The sequence below is a fragment of the Homo sapiens genome, chromosome 12 (assembly GCF_000001405.40).
Source record: "Homo sapiens chromosome 12, GRCh38.p14 Primary Assembly".
Classification (NCBI taxonomy): Eukaryota; Metazoa; Chordata; class Mammalia; order Primates; family Hominidae; genus Homo; species Homo sapiens.
In genome coordinates, this window is record NC_000012.12 from 14382257 (window position 1) to 14405677 (window position 23421).

General features: G+C 35.0%; 1 protein-coding gene across 10 annotated transcripts in view, besides 1 other annotated feature; it reads left to right on the plus strand.

The window, feature by feature from the left end:
- Positions 1 to 23421, plus strand: part of ATF7IP (activating transcription factor 7 interacting protein) — a 137249-nt gene that overhangs the window by 16575 nt on the left and 97253 nt on the right. For 5 of the 10 annotated variants that reach the window (NM_181352.2, NM_001388179.1, XM_011520756.4 and 2 more), the window contains exon 1: positions 3025 to 3144. The exons of 4 other annotated variants lie outside the window; for them this stretch is intronic. In NM_181352.2, the coding sequence (NP_851997.1) occupies positions 3128 to 3144 (17 nt within the window). In that variant the 5' untranslated portion in view covers positions 3025 to 3127. Of the gene's footprint in view, positions 1 to 3024; positions 3145 to 12606; positions 12997 to 23421 lie in introns of those variants that run through there. One more of the 10 variants, NM_001388180.1, reaches the window with a different exon arrangement.
- Positions 10339 to 10633: a silencer, noted in NCBI's record as "tiled region #5402; HepG2 Repressive non-DNase unmatched - State 23:Low". NCBI's record gives its function as "represses a minimal TATA promoter and a strong SV40 promoter by Sharpr-MPRA in HepG2 cells {active_cell/tissue: HepG2}" and the evidence as "EXISTENCE:reporter gene assay evidence [ECO:0000049][PMID:27701403]".

Consider the following 23421-nt stretch of genomic DNA (forward strand, 5'->3'; position numbering starts at 1 on the left):
GGATAGTCATGGAATTGTTTACTGAACATTAGAAATTGGTTGCAAGTGTTTATGCTTCTGTAAATAAACGATTGGTCTCATTACAAATGACCCAATATAAAACAAATTTCTTAAAACCTGTGACATTATACAGTCAAGGTGAATCCTGCTTTTTTAGTAATATTAATAAAACTTAAATCACTTTTGTTTCCTGTAGATTTTCTCAGAGTCATCTATCATAATAAGCACATAGTAGTTCCCATGTAGTGCCTGAAAAGTGCCCTACAAAAGTTATTTTTTCCATCTTGGATTCTGAACTGCAGATGTTTTTAGGCCAAGACTAAAATCTTAGTTGACATATTAGTTGACTTCTTCCTAGAAAGTAGGAGTTGAGATCCTAAAAATGAAGGTTCTTTTGAGATTTTTGTGGTAGAAACAAAAACACTGAGAATTTCAGCTCACTATTTATTGAGCAAATAACTGTGTTCTATACTATGGAAGAGAATGGAAAATGAATCAAGATGCGATTTATATCCTTATATAAAGATTATTTGCATAAAGATACAAGTAATGAAATGGTGGTAAGTATAATGATGATATGCATAAAAGATATTGAGAGAGTAATGATACCTGGTTTGGGGATGTGCGTATTAAGGAGAGAGTAAGCAAAGAATTATCAGTGATAGGGTAATATAGGTTGAATCATGTAGAGGATATATCAAGTAAACTATAATAGGATAGTTTCTTTGGGATAAAGGTGTTGGCCTTGACACTATTTATCTGAATAACAGCCTAATTATTTTCCTTTTCTAAACTGTTTCATCAGACACAGAAACAGAACCAATGTGTGAAGGGATGGATAAAGCTCTGTCAGCTGGTACTAAGTGTTGTCTGGGTTGTATTTCTGCTTGTATCAGTTTTGTGAAATTATTTAATCTTATTGGAGAATTCTGGATTTTCGGATTAGGGATGTCCAACCTGTATTATTAGTAGCCAGCAGCTTTCTCTTGGTAGACTATGTTTAGACTAAGAAAAAAGTAGTCAGGATTTACATTGGAAAAGTATTTGGCAAGAGAAGGGAGGCTTGAAGAAGATATCATCCATTTGACAGTGTGTTCCATAATTTAAATCTTTGTGGATCAGACTTCCTAAAAACACTTTGCTTCCAGAATGTAAGAAAGTGTTCATTAGGCAGCTCTGAATATTTTGGCTATGTGTACCATCTTTCCCCACCCCCCAATTAAACATAGATTCCAGTGCTACAGTAATATCAATTCTGTTCCAGCCTTTCTCAATTTACCAAATCTTGCTTTTGTTTTTAATTATAATTTTTTTTGAGACAGGATCTGGCTCTGTTGACTAGGCTGGATGGAGTGCAGTGGTTCAAGTTCACTGTAGCCTTGAACTTCTGGGCTCAAGTGATCTTCCTGCATCAGCCTCTTGAGTAGCTGGAACTACAGGTTCATATTACCACACCTGCTAATGTTTTAAAAATTTTTTTTGTAGAGACAGACAGAGATCTCGCTTTGTTGGCCACGCAGGTCTCAAACTCCTGGCTTCAAGAGAGCCTTCCGCCTTGGCCTCCCAGAGTGTTGGGATTATAGGTGTGAAGCACTGTGCTTGGCCTAAATCTTGCTTTTAATGAATAGTCTTTGCTTGAGAATCACAGTTGTATTTTTAAAGAATTAATATGGCTTGGATCAAGTTTAACTTTTTTTTTCTGATATACTGAAGTTGTTACATACATTATTCATTTTGCCTCATGGAAAATACATAAGGACCTTTTAAAGATAAGTAATTTAAAAAACTTTTATTATGGAAAATTTCAAATATATACTGAAATAGAATGAGATAATAAATTCTGTGTGCCCATTGCTCAGCTTGAACCATTGTCAAGTCATAGGGCCAATCTCCTTTTAGCTATATCCCTATTACTCCCCTATACCCTTAAAACTTTTTAGTAAATACCTATATTTAGTGATAGATAGAACAAGATACACAGGTTAGCTAGATTTTAGGAAGGTAGACTGAGGAAGAGAGAAAGAAAATGTGGATTCTATTGCTGATGTGAACAGGTTCTCTCTGTGCTTTTGTCCTTCCCTTCTCTTTGATTGATATGTTTCTGCCAACCCACATTTGTTGGAGCTCTTTCAAATTTGTCTTGCTAATATATCTATTAGACTGAGTTTTACTCTTTTTTAAAATTCCCTTCTTTCCATCAGGGTGCCTATAATTCTTTGTTTTTATTTGCTTTTCACTCACATCAAAAAGTTGGGAGGTCTTTGTCAGGGCATGAAATGTAATTTGCCCTGGGACTAAACACTCACCTGGGGATGTTAATGTTTGTGACCATCTGTACTACTGAAGAGAAGAAATTATTTTTATATCTATGGTAAATTACTCAATAAGCTTTTTGCCATCTTCTAGAGATTCTGTTATCAAGGTTCAAAAATTTAATTGTAGGCTTTAACTGTTCTGCTAGATTTGAGCACTTTGGGGCTTTTAGATTCTGTGGAGAAAATCTTTAGCCTTCTATAAATTGAAATTAACTTAATCAATCAAGTCATTTTCAGGATTTAAACAATTTTCTAGAAATTATAAAATTGAAATTCTTTTCATGATAAAACTATAAAAGGTAAAAAAAAAAAAAAGGCCTTGAGCAAGGTTTAACTTTTTTTTTTTTTTTCTGGACTGAAATGGAGGCTTTCTTTCAAGCGAATTCCCTGATGTTTGCTCTGTGTGATTTGGCTCCATCTCTGTAACTGCTAATATGTGGCATGGATTTCAAGTTGTTTGGGATCTGGATGTGCCCAAAGTCTGTATTGCAAGACGGGATTCACAGGCATTATGTTACAAAACTGGCTTGCTGCCTTCTGTTTTCTTTTTCTGTGTCCTGTGTAGCTGCATTGTTTGTTGCAGTATATGCATTAGCTGTTGTCTATGTTCAGTTTCCTGCAGGCTGACAAAGTGGGAGGGGCTTTGTTTGTTACATAGCTGAGTTTTCACTGTGTGAGTTCTTGAGTGCACATTGCAGCCATCTTAATTACACTTTTGTGCAACTGAGACTGTGCAGCTGTCTCAAAATGGCTGCTAACCTAGTCTTTGTAGCTGCTTAGGCAGCAAGTATGTCAGTGAGGAGACTTGTCACATGCATCAGGACCAGAGGTAAGAACCAATTACTCTTTTATCTTAAACATTCTCATTTTTTTCTTTTTTAAAAAGGAATTTAACTGAGTTTACTTAGAGGGGTGAACTTAGAGCTTGGTTTTTAAAAAGTTGAAATGTTTGGTAGAACCTTTAAGCCTTTATTATGGAAACAGTACATAGCATGGTGGGGTCAAAGGTTAAATTCCTGTAATTTCTCACCATTTTATGTTCTGTCATTGCCAGAACATTTGATCACCATAGTAGTGCATTTCTGGCCCTAATTAATGTAATATTCCTTTTGTGTAGGCTATTTTAGTGTGTTTGGTATTTATTTGTAGAAATTAAAACAATATATTATCTGAATAGATTTTTTTTTTAAAGGATCCATAAGTAAGCCTTGTTTTGCACAAAGACTACAATTTTTCTACGGTTTTGTGAGGTATTGTGTGGAAGCTTTTTGGAAAGAAGGGTAATTATATAAATCATGAAAAAAAATTTTTAATACTGTCCAAAATCTTTTTTTTTGGCATTATGGGTTGCAGTTCTTTCTCATCATGCTGCCTCCTCCCAGTATCCAACTCTTTGACATTTTTAATGCTGCTTTGCTTCTTTGTTCAAATTACTTTTTGCTTAAGTTGGCATTCAGATTCAGATTTTGAATTTAGAAATAAATTCACATCTAGTCATGGATACCTCTTTTTAAAAAATATATCTAATGTATTCAAATACCATCAGAGCTGAAGTACTCAGTTAATTAAGTTATATTTTCATTTTAGTCTTAATTCAAACCTGTAGTATATTTAAAAGAAATATAGCTCAATGATTTTGTAAATTTAATTTCAAAAAGTTTAAAAAGCTTTCTTAACATCGTTCTGGAGTAGAAATGTTTATTGAGATACTGTAAGTCTGTGGTTACCCAGAAAGATGGGAGAATGAAATTCTTATTCACGTAGTATTTCAGATAGCAGAAAAGGCATACTTTAAGCAGCAATACTTAAATTGCAGTACCTGTTAAAATATTTTTTAGCTGGTATAATATACTCCTGGTTTTGTCCGTAGAGTATTAAGAATATATCCCTGACTTATATGACATAGAACAGTAAGTTCTAAACTTTCTGAGTAGAGCAGCTTTCTAAAAACAGAAACTTTTTGCATGTTAAACTCTTAGGGAGGATTCCAATATATAAAAGGGATACTTATGGTTTCTGCTTAATTCTGCAAGGCTTAAGAAACAAAAGGACACGTGATATTTTATTGTTATGTACTTATTTTATATTGTAAACTTATTCACATGTCATGTGTATTTAATAAAATGACAATAATTATGCTATTAAGATAAACAAAACTTGGAAACGAGATCGTACATGACAATTATAATCTTGTATTAGATCCAGATCTAGTTCACTTATTTGTAGAACCTTGGCCTCTTAAGGCACTGTGGAATTCAGTTTGAAAATTATTCTAGAATGTGTCTTCGTTATGTTGATTTTTGATGTTCATGAAGATGGAATATAAGATCTATATGTACATGACTTAACAGTTTAAAATTGTTGACTTGTCTCAGCCTTGTGTTTATATTTGTTATTTACATTTTTTTTAAACAAAATAATTGTTTTTCCTAATTAAATCAGTGTCCATTTATTTAGTGGCTTAAAATATATTCTGGGATCAGTATTTATCTCAGTTTCATCAACAGCTTTAGCATTTTTGTTTCACTTTAGTCACTACATTGTAAAATCTTTAGGACTGTCTTATATGACATAGTAGATTCTCATAATTTGAACACTAATTTATGTAAATCATTCAGTCATATGAACTGTACCTAAAAAAGAAAAAGAAAAACATTTCAATGTGTTTGAGGGATTCTATTCATCATTCCTTTCAGTAAGGTTATCCTTGGAGTGAGTATGACATAGAAAAGTGAATGTGCTGTGACCTTGATCACTCTTATTTTCATGCCTTTTAATAGTAATAACAGCTCATTTTCTTGGTGGCGAGAGTGGGAGGGGAGGAGACTCTAGTGTTTAAAAATATGTGTATTTCAAAACATTTTATATAATGTCGAAAAACTGTCCATGTTGAAATTATTGAGCAGTTTATGCTGGTCTTGAGTGGGATCTTAGGGAAATTTTAATAACCCAGTCTTTTTGCCTTCTATTGCTAACTGTAATATTTGCCGCTACCCTCTACAAGATTATTACCTGTACATGAGGAAATACTAATGCCCTATGGTTACTCAGGATATTATTGCTAATTCTTTCCCTGCTGTGTTGCATTTTTGCAACTGTAAGCATAAATTACCCCTTAATGAGATGATTGCTTTTGGGATTGGTGATAGTTCTCAAATTTTCTGTTCCAAGTTCCAGTTAGCTATTATGCTGGGTAATTGAGGGCATAATAAATCTGGGAGCTGAATAATTGAAGTTTTATGATGTTATTTTGTCACTTTTAAAAATTCTCCCCTTTTGTTTACCCTTTTTCATGAACAATTTCATCTGCATAAGCCTCTAAGAGAAATGTTAGGGTGGTGGCACTGGCCAAGGGTCCAAACCTGAATTTGAATACTGTTTTTGCTACCTTTTTCTGACATTGACGAGCTTATTCCATTTTCTTTCTTTCCTTTCATTCTTTCTTTTTTTTTTTTTTTTGAGACGGAGTTTCACTCTTATGGCACAGGCTGGAGTGCGATGATGCTTCCTCGGCTCACTGCACCCTCTGCCTCCTGGGTTCAAGCCATTCTCCTGTCTCAGCCTGCCTCCTGGGTTCAAGCCATTCTCCTGTCTCAGCCTCCCGAGTAGCTGGGATTACAGGCATGTGCCACCATGCCTGGCTAATTTTTATATTTTTAGTAGAGGTGAAGTTTCTTCCTGTTGGTTAGGCTGGTCTCGAACTCCTGACCTCAGGTGATCTGCCCGCCTTGGCCTCCCAAATTGCTGGGATTACAGGCGTGAGCCACTGTGCCCTGCTAATTTTTTTTTTTTCAAGACGGAGTCTCACTCTGTCGCTGAGGCTGGAGTGTAGTGGTGAAATCTCAGCTCACTGCAACCTCCGCCTCCCAGGTTCAAGTGATTCTCCTGCCTCAGCCTCCCGAGTAGCTGACATTACAGGCGCCCATCACCACGCCCGGCTAATTTTTGTAGTTTTAGTAGAGATGGGGTTTCATTATGTTGGCTAGGCTGGTCTTGAACTCCTGACCTAAAGTGATCCGCCTGCCTAGGCCTCCCAAAGTGTTGGGATTATAGGCATGAGCCACTGCGCCCAGCCTTCTTTCTTTCTTTACTGGAGACAGAGTCTCACTCTGTTTCTCAGGCTGGAGTGCAGTGGCAATCTGAGCTCACTACAACCTCCACTTCCTGGGTTCAAACAATTCTTGTGCCTCAGCCTCCTGAGTAGCTGGTATTACAGGCATGTGCCACCAAGCTAATTTTTGTGTTTTTAGTAGAGACGGGGTTTTATCATGTTGGCCAAGCTGGTCTCGAACTCCTGGCCTCAAGTGATCTGACCACCTCAGCTTCCTGACATGCTGGGATTACAGGCATGAGGCATCGTGCCCTGTGTTCATTCCATTTTTTGATTTTCGTTTCTTCGTCTATAAAATGGGGGAAATTTCCTATCTATTTGGTAAGCATATGCTCAGAATCAATTTACATAATGTTTCAGAATAGTATCTTGAAATACTCTGCAAAAATCTTGCATACTAATTTTCTCAGTAATATCCAAATGCATTTCAGTTTATTTGCCTCTCGAGTGTCATATACCTTTTCAAGTGTGATTGGATCAGTGTGTATTTAAAAACTATGGGAAATTTCTTATATAACTCATGCTCAGAAGCAAGAAGTGCTAAGTAACATCATATCCACTTAGTAATGTTATATATTCGTTTTTGTAGTACTGGGTCCTACTCTGTTAGCATAAATTAGCCATCCTTTGTTGTGTATGGATATGGCAGATGTATTTATTAAGTAAAGCCAATATAGAATGTTGACATTACAGAATTTAGAGGAGTAGGAGAAGTGTTTTGGGTATAGTCTGGCTGAGTTCTTCAAATACACTGTGAGAAAATAACTTATCTAAAAACATGACTTGAATTCACGGCCTAGAGTTTCCTGTGTTTCAGTACAAATAAGAATCATAAAAACAGTAAATTCTCTTTGAAAAAAATTCATTTTCAGAGCTATAAACTGGCAGCCAGCAAACTTACTTTTATTCTTTAGTCACCAGCCCATTTCTCTAATTGTTTGTTTTTTGTTTTTTTTGTTTTTGAGACGGAGTTTCGCTCTTGTTGCCTAGGCTGGAGTGCAATGGCGCGATCTCGGCTCACCGCAACCTCTGCCTCCCAGGTTCAAGCAATTCTCCTGCCTCAGCCTCCCGAGTAGCTGGGTTTACAGGCATGCACCACCACGCCCGGCTAATTTTGTATTTTTAGTAGAGACTGGGTTTCTCCATGTTGAGGCTGGTCTTGAACTCCTGACCTTAGGTGATCCGCCCGCCTCGGCCTCCCAAAGTGCTGGGATTACAGGCGTGAGCCACCGCCCCCAGCCCCATTTCTCTAATTGTTAACATTTAAAGTTGTCAGATTTTACCTAAAAATCTAGATGTCTTGCCTCTTGAAAAGCAAACAACATTTTTGCTTGAGGATAGCAATCTACAATTGAGTATAGATGCTGTCTCCTTCAGATAGGGCCTTCTCTTGCCCACCTCTGGTCCTCTTCACTGAATCACGTTACCTGCGTGGCCTTGGAAGACAGTTCCTTTTAAAGACCTATCCTACGTATTTGATAGTTTATTGGCAGCCTTAAATATCTAAAATATAACTTCTAACCCAAAAGAAAGTAAACATAAGTAAAATTTAGCCTACTTTACTTGGTAGGAGAGACTTAGAATATATAAAGTCAGTTTACTCTTTAGAAGATATGGCACCTTTTGTAACCTTTCACTTTGTCCTAATTTTATATAGAGTGCCATGGGAGCCAAATGAAGGAGATCCAATGGCATAACAACAAGTAACGATTGAAAGTGAAGAGATTAAAGAAATACTAATTAGAAACATCTAAGTACCTTGAGATCTTTTATGTGATAATCAGTTCTGTTTTCTTTAAATGTTACCGCTGTGTTAAAGGACATCACTATCAACTTGATGTTCTTAATGGTGATACTGAATAAGAAAAAGTTAAAGTGTATTCAAGCTATGCAGTTTACTGAACAGATAAATGAAATAACATTTTATAAAAGATTTTTGCTCAAATTAGTTGAGCTAAGAAGTTTATCACTGAAAATAATGAGTAAATTTCCTAATAGAATGTTTTCTTAACCGTACACTAGATTAGATAATGGCCGTTAGGCCATTACAAACTTTATTTTTGTTGAAAACTTACATCTATTTACATTTATTAATTTAACATTTACAGTGTCTATGTGAAGACTACCTTGATGATGCATGAAACATGATAATTTATAATCTTGATCTGACTTAAATTTGAATTCCACATTTCCCAGAGTGAAAGCCAGCTTGTTAACATTCAAATAATACCACGACATTGGTAACTCTAAGGAAGTGCTAAAAGAATGTTATGCCTTTTTGGAAAATGGTTTTCTAGTTAGAGTTCAACTTTAGAGAAAATTGAAAAAGTGATTAACTTGCACAGGAAACAGTGACTCCCCTGCTTTACTGCTCTTCACACTTTGAAAAGAGAAAGTGATTTGAGAGAAAGCCTAATGTCTATTCAAATAAGTGATTGTTTTTTAATTGCTCAGGTTAGAACTCTCACAAAGAGTTCTCTGTTGGTGATATGTAACAGTCTGTTATTAGTCATTAATATGTGAATATGGAAATTGTGAAAACAGCACAAATTGATTTAGCAAATCTTCATCAGTTTAGTGAAAGAGGGACCTTAACACTGGAGAGAGGTCTGAGGAGTTGCTTCTGCATCTGCCTGAGGGAATCTTGTCTTTCCTTCTGAAGTAAGGCAGATACAGCTAGCCAACTGCCAGTAGAACTATCTGACTCGTGTATCCCTTTGTTGGATATAGAAATACCTGTACCATGGCATACATAGTGGAAAACATTAGTATAGAAGTTAGGAAAAGATTACTTCTGCTCTCGTACTGTTATTAAGTAATTGTGTAGTTTTGGATAAATATTTAACCTCTTTGTGTTATCCCTGATCATTAAATGAGATGGGTCGTTGGAAGAACACCAACTTTGAGTCAAACAGAGTCAGGGTGAATCCATGTTCTTCCTCTCATTAGTTATAGGTTATATGAAAAATGGATATATAGTGCTCAAAGTACAGTACCTATTTATGATTATGTGTTCAGTAAGTCTTAGGTATTTTGTTTGTTTGTTTGTTTGTTTTGAGACAGAGTTTTGCTCTTGTTGCCCAAGCTGGAGTGCAATGGTGCTATCTCAGCTCACTTCAACCTCCGCCTCCCAGGTTCAAGCGGTCTTCCTGCCTCAGCCTCCTGAGTAGCTGGGATTATAGGCGTGCGCCACCATGCCTGGCTAATTTTGTATTTTTAGTAGACACGGGGTTTCACCATGTTGGCCAGGTTGGTCTCGAACTCCTGACCTCAAGTGATCTGCCTGCCTCGGCCTCCAAAAGTGCTGGGATTACAGGTGTGAGCCACCATGCCTGGCCAAGTCTTAGGTATTTTTATGGAATGAGGCAAGTTACTTATTTTCAGAACCTCAGTTTTTCTTGTTTTTAAAATGGGAATAATGTTTATCATAAAGAACTAATATTGGGGTTTAAATGAGGATAACAAATATAAAGTCAAGTGAAGTGTAGCACAAATTAAATATTGGTTGCATTTGTTTCACAAGACTCCCTTTAGCACAGATCTTTTTTTTTTCTTTTTTTTCTTTTAAAAATCATCATTTCAGGAAGAATGGAGTTGGGAGAAATCTGGTCTACTGGGTAGTTTAGAAAAGGATCTTTAGGGAGAGGGCGTATTTAGGGGCCTGGCTGATTTACAGTAAAAATGTCACAGAGCAGGGTCTTTAGAATCTCCAAGTGAAGACTTTGAAGAGTCTAAAGGGGACAAAATAAGAATTCTTACTTGTGCAAAGGCAGCATGGTAGAGTGAAAACTAAAACAGACTGTGAATTGATCAGTTACTCAACAAATGTAACAGTTATTTATTATGCACCTATTATTTGCCAGGTACTGTTTGATGCTTGGCATATAAGATCCTTGCTCTCTCTCAGGGAGTTTACACTTGTGGAGGGAGTGGGAAGACACAGACAATAAATATGAGAGAAGGTTGCAAATACTTAAGGATTGTGAATGCTGTGGGGTAGGGTAGAATAGGTATCTAAGAGCTAGATGAGCACTACACAAAATGTGGCCTGTGATCAGTCTGAGAACTGTTCGCTTCTGGTCCTCTGTGAGATAAGAACTGAAATTGAGAGTTTATAGAAATTTTTACATCAATCTGATAATGTAATTTTATGTCAGTTGAGTCAAAACAATTAAAACTCATATTTTATATGCCTTATTTTTAATTTCATTTTTCAGGTAATTCATTGCCACCATATTTTACAATAGCATTGATCTACAGTGGGTTGAAAATAAAACACCAGTCTTTACTGTATTCATTTTAGCAGTGAGCTAGATCAACAGTTGCCATTGTTAGTACTATTAGTAAGCATGTTGTGGAGATTTTCAGCTTCTTTTGATGAATAATTCACTGTCAAGTAATTAGCTTATTTGGCTTAGAAATACTTACATCCATGTTATTTACACTATATTTTATGTTGGACTAAGTTATTTTAGGTCTTTTGATTTTCAAGTACTTTTATTCATGGTTGGATGCATGATACAGGTAGGAAGAGAACAAAATTAAAACTGTAAGGTATATAATAAGTGATTTCTTTTTTTAATTTTTAACTTCTAGATTCTGTTCTCAATGCTTAGATTATTTCTAACATTTTTTCTCAACTCATATTTTATGATCAGTATATGGTACTTAGAAAGCTCTTTTGATATAAGATCTTTCCTCCAACCAAGAGTTAATTTATGCATGAAATTGTATCATTATATTTGTCCCTATCACTTCATCTGCTGCTGGTGGGTCATAGATCCTGAGAAGAGAATATAGTTGTTTGAGGAAATTTATCATTGATAACCTAGATAATATTTTTGATTGTCTATATAAGTCTACCATTTGCTATTGATAAATGATAACTTTATGCGTCCCCTCATTTATAGCCCCATTATCTTTTTTATGTGATAGGGGTAACTTAAGAAGTATGTTGAAGATAGCTGAAAATAAGATTTAAAAATATGGAAAATATTTTGGATAACCCCTAGTAAGCATTTTAAGTACTTCTTTTCATTTTGTTATTTCAGATGCGGGACTAAACTAGTTTCTGGATTGTTACTTTAAAATGAAATTTAATATATCTCTAGCCTTAATGAAAATGGTAGTGGAGTAGAATTATGTATTAGTAGATAATAAATTAACTAAAAAATAAGTAAAAATAAAGAAAAGGGCCTTGCAGATAATGACTCAACTCTTGCCTTGTCAGATCTGGCCAGTAAAAACAATACATGAATGATACAGGTTTGAAAAGAATGTGGCACAGACAGAATATTTTCTTGGGAAGACATTCGTAATTTAATGTGCCTAGGTTTTTATACTCAGCACATGCTTTGGTAATATTAACTAGTGGTAAATGTGTTGAATTATTTAACCATCATAATAGTGATACCTGAAGGTACACAATTCTTATTATTTGGTGAAATGTTAAACAATATACTTCTAAGAGCACATCTACTTAATAATGTTTACTATTTAATTGATTAGTTAAAATTTGAAAGGTAGTTGTAGAGTAGAATGAGGATAACATTAGGTAATGTGAATTATAATTTGTATTTTTAATGATTGCCAAACAGCAACCATTGAATTTACGTGGTCTGTGCCATAAGTAAGCTAAGGCTTTTGAATATCTCTGAGAGTTAAAAATATTTTTCTTGTGGTGGGGGGTGGAATTTCAGTTATATAAGAATTATAAATTGGTTTTCTTTTATTACCTGGATTTGAATTCTATTCAAATATGTATATCAAATATATGTAGATAACTAGATATATTCTAGAACCAGTCAGTACATGTTGGGGAACGAATGGGGAGGGTTTACTCAGCAGTACTCTCCTTTAGTTTGGTCATGAAATGAGGACTGCTTTATGTAAATTGTCCTTACTGGCGCCAGCTAGCTGTAACTGCAGTCTGGCTGTGCTAGGGTAGCAAATAAAATGTGTCATGGATTTTCTGTTTGGAATGTATAAGAATTCAGCCTTTTGGACTGAAAGAACAGAGTTGATACATTAGAATAGCAGTAGTGAGACCACAATTGACAGTGAATATGTGAAATAGTGAGAAGCTATAAGCCTTTTAAGCTTTTAGTTCTTTTATAGGTTTATACCTATTGATACTATTGGGTAATATGTGGGAGGTACTTAACTGCACACAGTTGCTGCAGACCTAATAGTTGGCAGCATAGAAAGCAGTACAAAGAATTCTGATTCTAGGCATTTTCACTTTGAAATAGTCATTTTGAAGATATACTCTGTGTGTTCTGTGAGCTTCATTGACATATTGTCTGACGTTTTTTGGCTTTTGTGGTAAATGGGATGTATGCTGCACAAACTACCCAACAGATGTGAACCACTATTTGAAAGGAATTTTAATATGTAGCCAACCTACTGTATTCTTGTTTTTTTTTTAATGAATATGAATCAAACAAGAAATTTAGACTCGAGAAGGCTGACCTAGAAGTCTGCATTAGCTTTTAATGTTTATACAAATGAACTAAGTAGCAGTGGTTTACAGAAGAGGAAGTCCTTTTCACAGTGTCAAGCTGCCCACAGGTAAGAGATTCAGGTCCTTTTTCTGTGACACCTACCCCCCAGGCTTTATGTTTTTCTCTCACCATTGGAAGTTTTTAAAAATTTGTTTGTTTTTAGTTCTAATGAAAACAGGATTGGTAGATCGTTTAATGTTAATATTCAGGAGATTTTGAATGCCACATTTGGATTTGGTATTTTTTAAAATGTAATTTTCATCTTCTCAAAATTCCTTCACATTTGAATTGAAATGAACTAACAGTGGACTTCATATATGAATATTACTCATGCATACAATATGTTCATATTACATAGAAATCAGTTTTAGATCTCTTTTCATTATAGTCTGTTACTATATTCTCACTTGTAGTGACACCAACTGGTACACGCAGAGAGATGACATTTTGTAACCTCACTTAAGTATAAAGTTTTAGTTTAAATTTACCACTTTGAATTCACCTTTACAAATCAGAGTGCTTATGTTTTCAAATATGGCTCATTGACATACATTAGATAATGTATATTTATACATATAACTTGGTCAATTTTCTACTTCCACCCTTATTCTTTCCATTTCTCTATATTTAAATTTATTATTATTTTAATAAAGTGATTTTTAAAAGTCTAAAATGAATGTATTAATTAGGAATTCCACTAAATTTCATATTTCTTAACCTGGGTTAAAGGAACACAGTCATTTGTTATTATTTTTTTCTATGCATGAAATATTGTATACAAAAATATAAAATTCCATTGCAATAAAAATAATCTACTACCATTGCTGTAAAGATAGGAAGGTGTATGTTTATAAAGAAATGCCAATGTATGTGTTCATTCGTATCAGTATGGCCAGAAATATATTACTGATTGTAATAATTTTTGGAGGGTGGGTGAAGAGTTGAATAGCAGAGTAAAGTGAAGAGTGGTAGTGAGGTAGCTTAGAGTAGTGTATCAAAGAAAGGAATTACGTCAGGCAGCTCTCTGCTCTTTCCCTCCCTCTTTAGAAGTCAAGCAGCAGGCTCTTTCTGTAACCAAAGTGTTACTTTTAGGTGGGACTTCCAGTTCTCTAGTTTCTGAAAGTTTGGTCACTTATTGCTACATAGTTGTATACTTTAAAACTGGGGGCCAGCTGTGATAGAAGCCATACTCATGTTTCAGGGGCAGGAACTGTTCCTTACTTGTTGCCTTTTGACAGTGTTGCTTGGATTTAAAAAAAAAAAGCATATATTTTATTAAAGTATAGAAACGTAACTTTTTTGTGTATGTTTCATCTCAGTAAACAATTTCCCTATGATTGACAAAATGATGATAGTAGAAAGAAATCAATTTTGATTGATGTGTTTGAGGTTGGATGAGGAGAAGGTCATGCTTCTTGGTGTGGAAGACATACACATCTGAAACAGTAGGAAAAAGTTTTTCAAACTTCTCTTGTGCTATTATATTGGTTAGGGGAATGCTGGGCTGGGAAGATAGTTGAGATGGGCTAGTTTTTACATATAGACAAAGAGAAAAAGAGTTGATAGACAAAAACAGGAATTTATTGAATGCTGTTAGAGTTGGAGGTCATAGCAAAGAAAGATGAGGGATAGTAGGACAGAGGTATATTTTGTACATAGACAATCAAAACAAAGATAAAAGTCATGAGTATGATTACAGGCGTGGTGGCTCACGCCTGTAATCCCAGCACTTTGGGAGGCCGAGGCAGGTGAATCACCTGAGGTCAGGAGTTCGAGACCAGCCTGACTAACATGGTGAAACCCCGTTTCTACTAAAAATACAAAAAATTAGCCAGATGTGGTGGCGCACGCCTGTCATTCCAGCTACTTGGGAGGCTGAGGCAGGAGAATTGCTTGAATCCGGGAGGCGGAGGTTGCAGTAAGCCAAGATCGCACCATTGCACTCCAGCTTGGGCAACAAGAGCGAAACTCCGTCTCTAAAAAAGAAAACCAAAAACAAACAAAAAAACAAAACACCAAAAAAACAATGAGGATAAAGGTATATAGTCTTTGAGGCTATTGAAGTTGAGTGTGAATGATCCAAAATTTGGAGTATAAAAATCTTTGAGTTCCTAAAAAGTGTTTGTGTTCCTTTTAAGAAAGAAAATGTATTTAGCAAGCAATGTAGAATCTCAAAATCTTCAAAATGAAATGAACCTAAGTGGTCAGGTAGTTTCTAATATTGCACTTTGCACAGGAACCTACTGTTTGATATTCCTGACAGATAATTATCTAGTTTATACTTCACTATTTCTAATGACAGAAGGGAGAGTCTCTATTTTCATAAATCAGTTTCTTCTTTTATTGGGCATCCAAACAAATTAACATTTGTTGATTTTGAGATGAAGTTGCCTTTCATTACTTTTATTTTTGCTTCTCATAGCCCCCCACTTTCTGTCTGTCTGTAGCTCTCTTTCTCTTGTATCTCTTTTACATGACAAATATGTACTATTTAAAGAAAGCTCATTAAAATTTTCTTATGTTTTCTAGGCTAAATATCAATATCTTTTATTTTTTCCTGACATTTCCTCATACAACTTACTGTTCCAGAGCATTCTTTAGCATGGTCATCCCACAGTTATTAATAAGTCCTTCTTTATCTGTGATGCTCAGAACCAAACATAATTACTCTAAAAATTTTCCCCTTCTCCTTGGCTATTTGTTCTACAGTTTAACTTTGCATTAGCATTTTTGGCAGCCACCTTGAGATGATTTTTTGAGTTTGCATTAAGTTAAAATACCTCAGTCTTTCCCTAATATTCATTGATAAACTTTAACATACTTTAATATTTGAAACAATTGTTACGTTATTATGTTTTCTTAATAATTTCTCATGTTGTTCGTTATATTTACTATGCTTTGTGTCTGTCTTCCTTGCAAGGTTTTTTTCTGTTTTAATAGTGTTTTTAAAGAACTGGCTTTTGGTTCCTTAATTGCTTGCTCATTTGTTTTCTTTCATAATTTTCTGCTTTTATTGTAATTCCATGCTTTGGGATTATACCTTTTTGCCTTTATTAATGTTTTTGAGTTTGTGTTTTTTGTTAATATATGCATTTAAGGCTATCAGTTTTAATCTGAATATCATTTTAGCTGATTTCCCTAGGTTGTATTCTTTTAATACTTCGTTGGTATTTTATCACTGATTTCCTCCTACATCTAAAAGTTTTTTTTTTTATTTATAAGGAGATAATTTTTCTGTCATCTTGTTGGTATATTTATTACATTATGACTACAGAATATAGCCTTGTGGTTTTTTTTTTTTGTCTTTGAGTTTGTTAAGATTTTCTTGTCGCCATACACATGGTCAATATTGATGTACATTGGCTGTATTTGTGAAAAAAATTATATTTTGGGTTTATTGGGTATACAGTTCTATTTATTTTTGTTATTCTGACATGCTAATGGGTTGTTCATTGCTTATTACTTTTGTGTTCTTCATCCATAGATTTATTTCTGATTGTGAATTTATTAGTTTTTTCCTGAATTATTTAAACTTGTTTTATCAATAGGACATATCTCTTTTTTTTGTTCTATTACTTGATTTTCAACTTGAATTCTTTTTTATATGTCATATATAGGTTTTATATGTATACCTACCCTTTTTTGTGGTACTATTTGCCTAGCGTATCATTTTCTATCCTTCTGTTTCAACCTTTCTATGCTGTTACTCTAAGGTATGTCTCGTTTATAGTGCATAGCTAATGATATTTTTGTTGTTTTACACGCTTGAAACCCATCAGGTTTTTCCCTGATTGATAATTTTCTTTATTTTTGCCCCATATTCTGCAACCTGTTAGTTAACTTACACATTGCAATTATCTGGATAAATAACATATTTATTTTAAAGATGATTGATCCTCAGTTATTTCAGCCTGCTCAAGAGTTTTACTTGTTTTTTGGAGCTTTGCTAATTTCCTTATCTGAATTTCTTCATAGGTTCTTCTGCTGTCTGGTCTTGTACTTATATTTATATATAATCATTTTAGCAAAGGTCTGCATTCTCTGTCTTTGCTCAGAAGTAATATATTTATTTCCTCACTCTTGCTGACTGCTAGCTTTGCTAGCTGTAGAATTCCACAGTGAAAATAACTTTTCCCATGAATTTTGAGGATATTGTTTTTTTTTTAGCTTTCAGTATTGCTGATGACAAGTCTGATGCCAGTTTAATTCTTTCTCTTCTGTAGTTAAATGATATTCTAAGTTATTAATATTTCCCTATAATGATTTTCTGAAATCTTATTGCAGTATGCCTAGGTGTCAAAAAATTTTATTTTGCTTATTTTAATTTAGTTTGTTTTGGGATTCAATAGACCTTTATTATTGGAAAACTTGTATATTTTTTCAGCTTTGCTGATTTTTTTTAATTTTCTTATTTTTTCCCTCCTTTTTTTCTTGTTTCTTTTTTTTTAGAAACTTGACTTAATTGAAAGTTGTTGCTTCTGGGTATATTTCTTATGTGTTTGTTTGTTCTTGTGAGTGTAATATCTTCTCATACACTTAGAGGATTTTTTAATATACTATTTTAAAATGTCTTCTGTTTATTCTCCTACTAATTAGCTAGTGTTTTTTGTGGGATTTGGCACCTGACCTTTTGTTTGAATTCTTGAATGTATTCATTTTTGTATTTGAGATTTCCTGTTTTACTTTGGCTGGATGCTGATGGTTCAGGTGATTGTGAGTGGTGGGGAAGTGGTACTTGCTACACATGGGATATGCTGATAATTTGTCTTTGGGATGGTAGCCTCCATGTCTCTCCGGGGACATAGTGTCTATATAAGTTACTACCCTAGCTGCATTCACAAATGTGACTGCTGCCCTGGTTTAGCACTAGCATGGAAGAGAGAATGTCTGATGAACTTAACTGTTCAAATACCAATTACATGAGTGAATTTTCATGTGATGATTCACACTGGCGTATCAGGTCTAAATTGAAAGTCTGTATTTGTATCGCCTTGTCTCTGTGTAAGTGAGGTACTTTTAACTAGTTTGACATTTATCCTTTTAGTCTTTAAAATATCACTTGCATGCCTGTATACATGTTTAGATTTTTGTGTGTTTTAAAATATAATGGCATAAAACAGGAAACATTTATTGACTGCTTACAGTATCTAAGTACTTTCTATTTATTATGTCATTTAATTCCCATAACATTTCCATGAAGACAGACTTTGTTATTTCAGTTTCATAGATGATTTTACTGAGGTAAGGAGAAGATATATATTTTAGATAGATAACCAGGAAATTAATAGGATTAATATTTAAAAAGGTATGTCTGGTCCTGGTATTTGCACTATTAATTGCAAGAGTTCTGCTTTTTTGGTGTGCTTGATAATATTTCTCAGAGATTTTTTTTTTAATTCCTGGGATATTAAGGGCTTTTGTTTTTGTATTTTCTATGACAGTGCAGCACTAGGCATCCTGATATATTCCTTTGTAAAACATGTTGATACATTGTTAGATAGATACCTTAAAGGTCCTTTGCTGTGTCAAAATGATGCACAATTCCTGCTTGTTTGTCCTTAAAAATGGATGTGACAGTTAACTCTTCTGCTCATGGTACATAAGACCACTCATTTCTGTATATTAATGCTAACCACAAGTAGTTGCCAATCTGATGTTTAAAAATGTATTTTCTCTTTCTGTTTTGTCTTTTTTTGATGATTAGGTTGAATGCCTTTTCTTGTATATGTTGTTTTATGAATTGCCTGCTCACGTTTCTGTATTTTTTTTCCAACTGTTTGTCCTTTTCATTCACTAATAGATTTTCTTTTTTATTCTGAATACTAATCCTATATCACTATGCCATTTTTTCAAGTATTTCTCCTAACTTGTGGTTACTTGTAGTACTTTCTGTGCCTTTGAATATTTATATTATTTTATGTCTAGTGTCTTTGCTATTATGCTTAACTGCTATTTTGATAGATTTTCCACTATTTATTTCAAAATCCATTTCTTCCTTATTTGTTACGTTTTGTTTTGTTTTTGTTTGAGACAGAGTCTTGCTCTTGTCACCCAGGTTGGAATATAGTCGTGTGATCTCGGCTCACTGCAACCTCCGCCTCCTGGGGTTCAAGTGATTCTCCTGCCTCAGCTTCCTGAGTAGCTGGGATTACAGGTGTCTGCCACCACGCCCGGCTAATTTTTGTAATTTTAATAGAGATGGGATTTCACCATGTTGGCCAGGCAGGTCTTAAACTCCTGAGCTCAGGTGATCCGCCTGCCTTGGCCTCCCAAACTGCTGGGATTAGTGGCGTGAGCCATCGTGCCTGGCCTTTCTTTCTTGTTTGTGATGCTTCTCTGTCATAGTTACCTTTTTTATTGTTTGTGTCTGTCTTTTGGATGATTATTCTGTTGTACTCTTTTTTTTTTTGTACTTAAGATAATAATGCTTTGTTATATGCTGTCACATCTGAGAGGGCAAACATTTTTCATTACTTTTGGTTTTCAATTTTTTCCCTGTTTTTAGCATTGTTTCACTTAGAGATTAAGCTTTTTTTTTTTTTTTTTTTTTGATATGGAATCTCGCTGTGTCGCTCAGGCTGGAGTGCGATGGCGCTGGGCTCACTGCAGTCTCCACCTCCTGGGTTCAAGCAGTTCTCCTGCCTCAGCCTCCCGAGTAGCTGGGGTTACAGGCATCCACCACCATGCCTGGCTAATTTTTGTATTTTTAGTAGAGACGGGGTTTTACCTTGTTGTCCAGGCTGGTCTCTAACTCCTGACCTCGTGATGCGCTTGCCTCGGCCTCCAAAAGTGCTGGGATTACAGGCGTGAGCCACCGCGCCTGGCCTCAGAGTAAGTTTTAAAAGCTAGTCATGCTACAAAATATCTAGGTGGAATTTTCTTTTTTTTTTCTTTCTTTCTGTCTGTCTTTCTCTCTCTCTTTTTCTTTTCTTTTCTTCTTTCTTTTTTTTTTTTTTTTTTGAGATAGGGTCTCGTTCTGTAGCCCGGACTGGAGTGCAGTGGCATGATTATAGTTCACTGCAGCCTTAACTTCTGGGGCTCAAGTGATTCTCCCACCACAGCCTCCCAGGGAGCTGGGGCCAGAGACACATGTCACTATACCTGGCTAATTTTTAAATTTGTTGTTGAGATGGGGTCTCGCTGTGTTGCCCAGACTGGTCTTGAATTCCTGGGCTCAAGCAATCCTCTTGTCCCAGCTTTCCAAAGTGTTGGGATTATAGGCATAAGCCACCATGCCTGGCTATAGTTACTTTTAAAAATTCCCCTTTTTTTTCTTTAGTCACCTCCCTGACAATACTTCTAATAAATTTTATCCAGGAAGAATTGATTTTTTTTTTACATTGAGTCTTAGCTCTAATATTTCATAAGACAGTTCTAATATGTCATGTAAGTGTTTCTAGATACATTTTTCTTGCCATTCTGATTTTTTTTTTTTTTTTTTGAGACAAAGTCTCCCTCTGTCACCCTGGCTGAAGTGAAGTGGTGCGGTGTTGGCTCACTACAACCTCTGCCTCCTGGGTTCAAGCGATTCTCCTGCCTCGCTTCCTGAGTAGCTGGGATTCTATCATGCCTGGCTAATGTTTTGTATTTTTAGTAGAGACGGAGTTTCTCCATGTTGTCCAGGCTGGTCTTGAACTTCTGAGCTTAGGTGATCCACCCACCTCACCCTTCCAAAGTACTAGGATTACAGTCATGAGCCACAGCTCCTGGCCTGAATGTTTTCTTTATTGTATGTTCTGACTCCTGTTTGAGCTTTTACTGCTTTGCTCAGGATTTTCACAACGTATTGGATATAGTATGCATACCCTTTGTTTTGTGTTTAAGAGAAATGTCTGTGGTGTTTTATTACTATGGTGTTTTTTTGTGTTTAAGAGAAATATCTGTGGTATATTATTATGGAATTTCTTGTTAGTTTGAAGTGATCTTTATCAGCTAAAGGAATGATTTTTATGTTCTTAATTTTTATTTTTATCAGTGCTTAATTTTAATTTTTATCAGTGAATGAGTGTTGAAACATTTAGTGTCTTTTCAATTTCTGTTAAGAAATGAGTTAATTTTTGTTTACCCCTTTTATATTGTCAATAAATTTCCTAATATGCTTTAAAAATTATTAGAGGTGTTTAAAATGGAAAAACAGTGCAGTTTAGGATAGAGATGTTAATCTCATCTTTTAGTAGTTAACCAGGAATATGAGGATAAAGGAATTAGAAGAAAATGTATAGTTTCTTGCCTCCTGGCCTTAATGATCTAACATAGTCACAGTCAGGCTCCACAAACTGCTCTTCTAGTCTCTCTAAGCACTGTTCTTTGCACAGTATATTTATTGAATTGATTGTTGTGCTGTTAACAGTGAGGTGGCTGATCGAATTTTTTTCTGTTTACCAGTCAAATGGCTTCAGACTCTTTATGTCAACAGTAGAAAAGATGATTAAAAATTTAGAAGAGAAATATGGTATTTGGAAATGCCAAAATAAGGTGCTAGATCTGCATTTGTGAACCCTCCAAAAGAGCTTAGTTATATGTACTTGGTGGCTTACTGCATTTATCACTGAATTTCCTTGGAATTTTTCTCCCCTGCTTCTCTCTCTCCACCTCCTCCTTTTTATTTTTTTTAATTCTGGAGGCTCTAGGCTCAGTTAAATATTTTCATGTGGCAGAGAGCCAGATTTCCAATAGCCCTGAACTCAGCATGCTGCTGTTGCTTAGCAACTACTTGTGAAGTCTTGTGGCTATAACTGAATTATAAATAGGGTTATGAGCAGAAGTGCAATTGAAATTGAGATTGGAAAGAAAGGCATACTCTTTTTTCCCCCGTCTCACTTGAATTTGAGTGATTTTTTTTTTTAAATGCAGAGTCAGTTTTCAGAAATCTGGCTCATAAACATTGGTAATACTAACCCTATCAGGAAGACAATATGGGCATCTTTGTAATTACACATTTGTAAGCTTTTTTTTTTTTTTCCAGTGCTAAACAGTCTATAATGGAGACAAGGCAGTTCATGGAAACTAGAGAACAGAACTTCTAATTTTCATGGTCATACATGTAGAAAAATATCCATATATTGTATTACTGCTGTATTTATCTTCCACATTTACATTAAAATCTACATACAGGAACACTTTATTAGATTATGTTCTTGTACTTTTCATCACATCATTTCTTTAGAGTGGCTTAAAAATTGTCCTATAATCATGACCACAGGCATTTGATGAATATTGAATACATGAGTAAATCAACCTATCTTTATTATTGCTTAAACAGTACATTTTTAAGTACACTTTATTAAAATGTTATCAGCAAAAAACCTGAAAGGTTCTTTAAGGTCTTCTGATTTAATTTCCTTATATTTCACATGGAAAGCTTTAGACCTAACGATGTTAAATGATTTGCCTAAGATCTGTCATACCCTGGTGTGTGTATGTATATTTGGTTTTTTTGCATTGGTCTCTCTTACTGTTACATATTTCACAACTCTCTTTTTTTTTGCACTCATATTTCATCAGTTTACACAAAATTTAAATTCTGTAATTTATTAAAAAATGTACAACTTAGTAACAAACACAACTTACATGAACAGGTTTAGTTGAGAGCAGAAGACCATGGGTATCAGTCAATAAATTTGTAGAATGGATGGAGACCACTGGCTTATTTGATATGATGATTAGGAGGTTAAGAGAGTTTCCAAAGTATAGAATTTTTGGTCAGAACTCTACAGATTTTTTTTCAGGTTCCAAAAGATGAAACTAAGTGGCAATTCTTGGTTTTGGGTAAAGAACTCTGTGCTTTCTTAAAATATATTAAACTTTTTTTAATCGCTTTTAACAGCCCATCCTATGAAACTAAGTCGATTGCAGACATTTGCCAGAAACAAGTAGATTGTATTCTTAGGCATTGTTGCTAGGAAAAATTTAGAGTGGAAATGTAATTTTTTCTTTTGCTGCCAGTGGAGGTGCTGGTTCATTCTTTGTTGTATGCCCAGTAGTAGAGATCTTGCTATCAAAAGTGTAAGTTTCTTTGAAAGGTTTAACTGAAGGAAGATGTAGAATTATAAATAGAATTGGCTGGAAAATTTGTGATAAAAAATAATTTTAATTAGATCTACAAAGAGGGATAACCAGCAATCTTGCTCTGCTATAGAAGATAAATAGTTGGTACAAAGAGGAATTTGAATTTCCTCCATAATATGGAAGAGGATTTAGGGTCTTTTTTCTTTCATCTTTTTTTTTTTTTTTTTTTTTTTTTTTTTGTGACAGGATCTCACTCTGTGGCCCAGGCTGAAGTGCAGTGGCACAATCATGGCTCACTATGACCTTGACCTCTCAGGCTCAAGTGATCCTCCCACCTCAGCCTCCGGAGTAGCTGGGACCACAGGTGTGCACCACCACACCCTGCAAATTTTTAAATTTTTTTTGTTGAGACAGGGTCTCACTATGTTGTCCAGGCTCATCTTGAACTTCTGGTGCCTCAAGCAGTCTTCCCACCTCAGCCTCC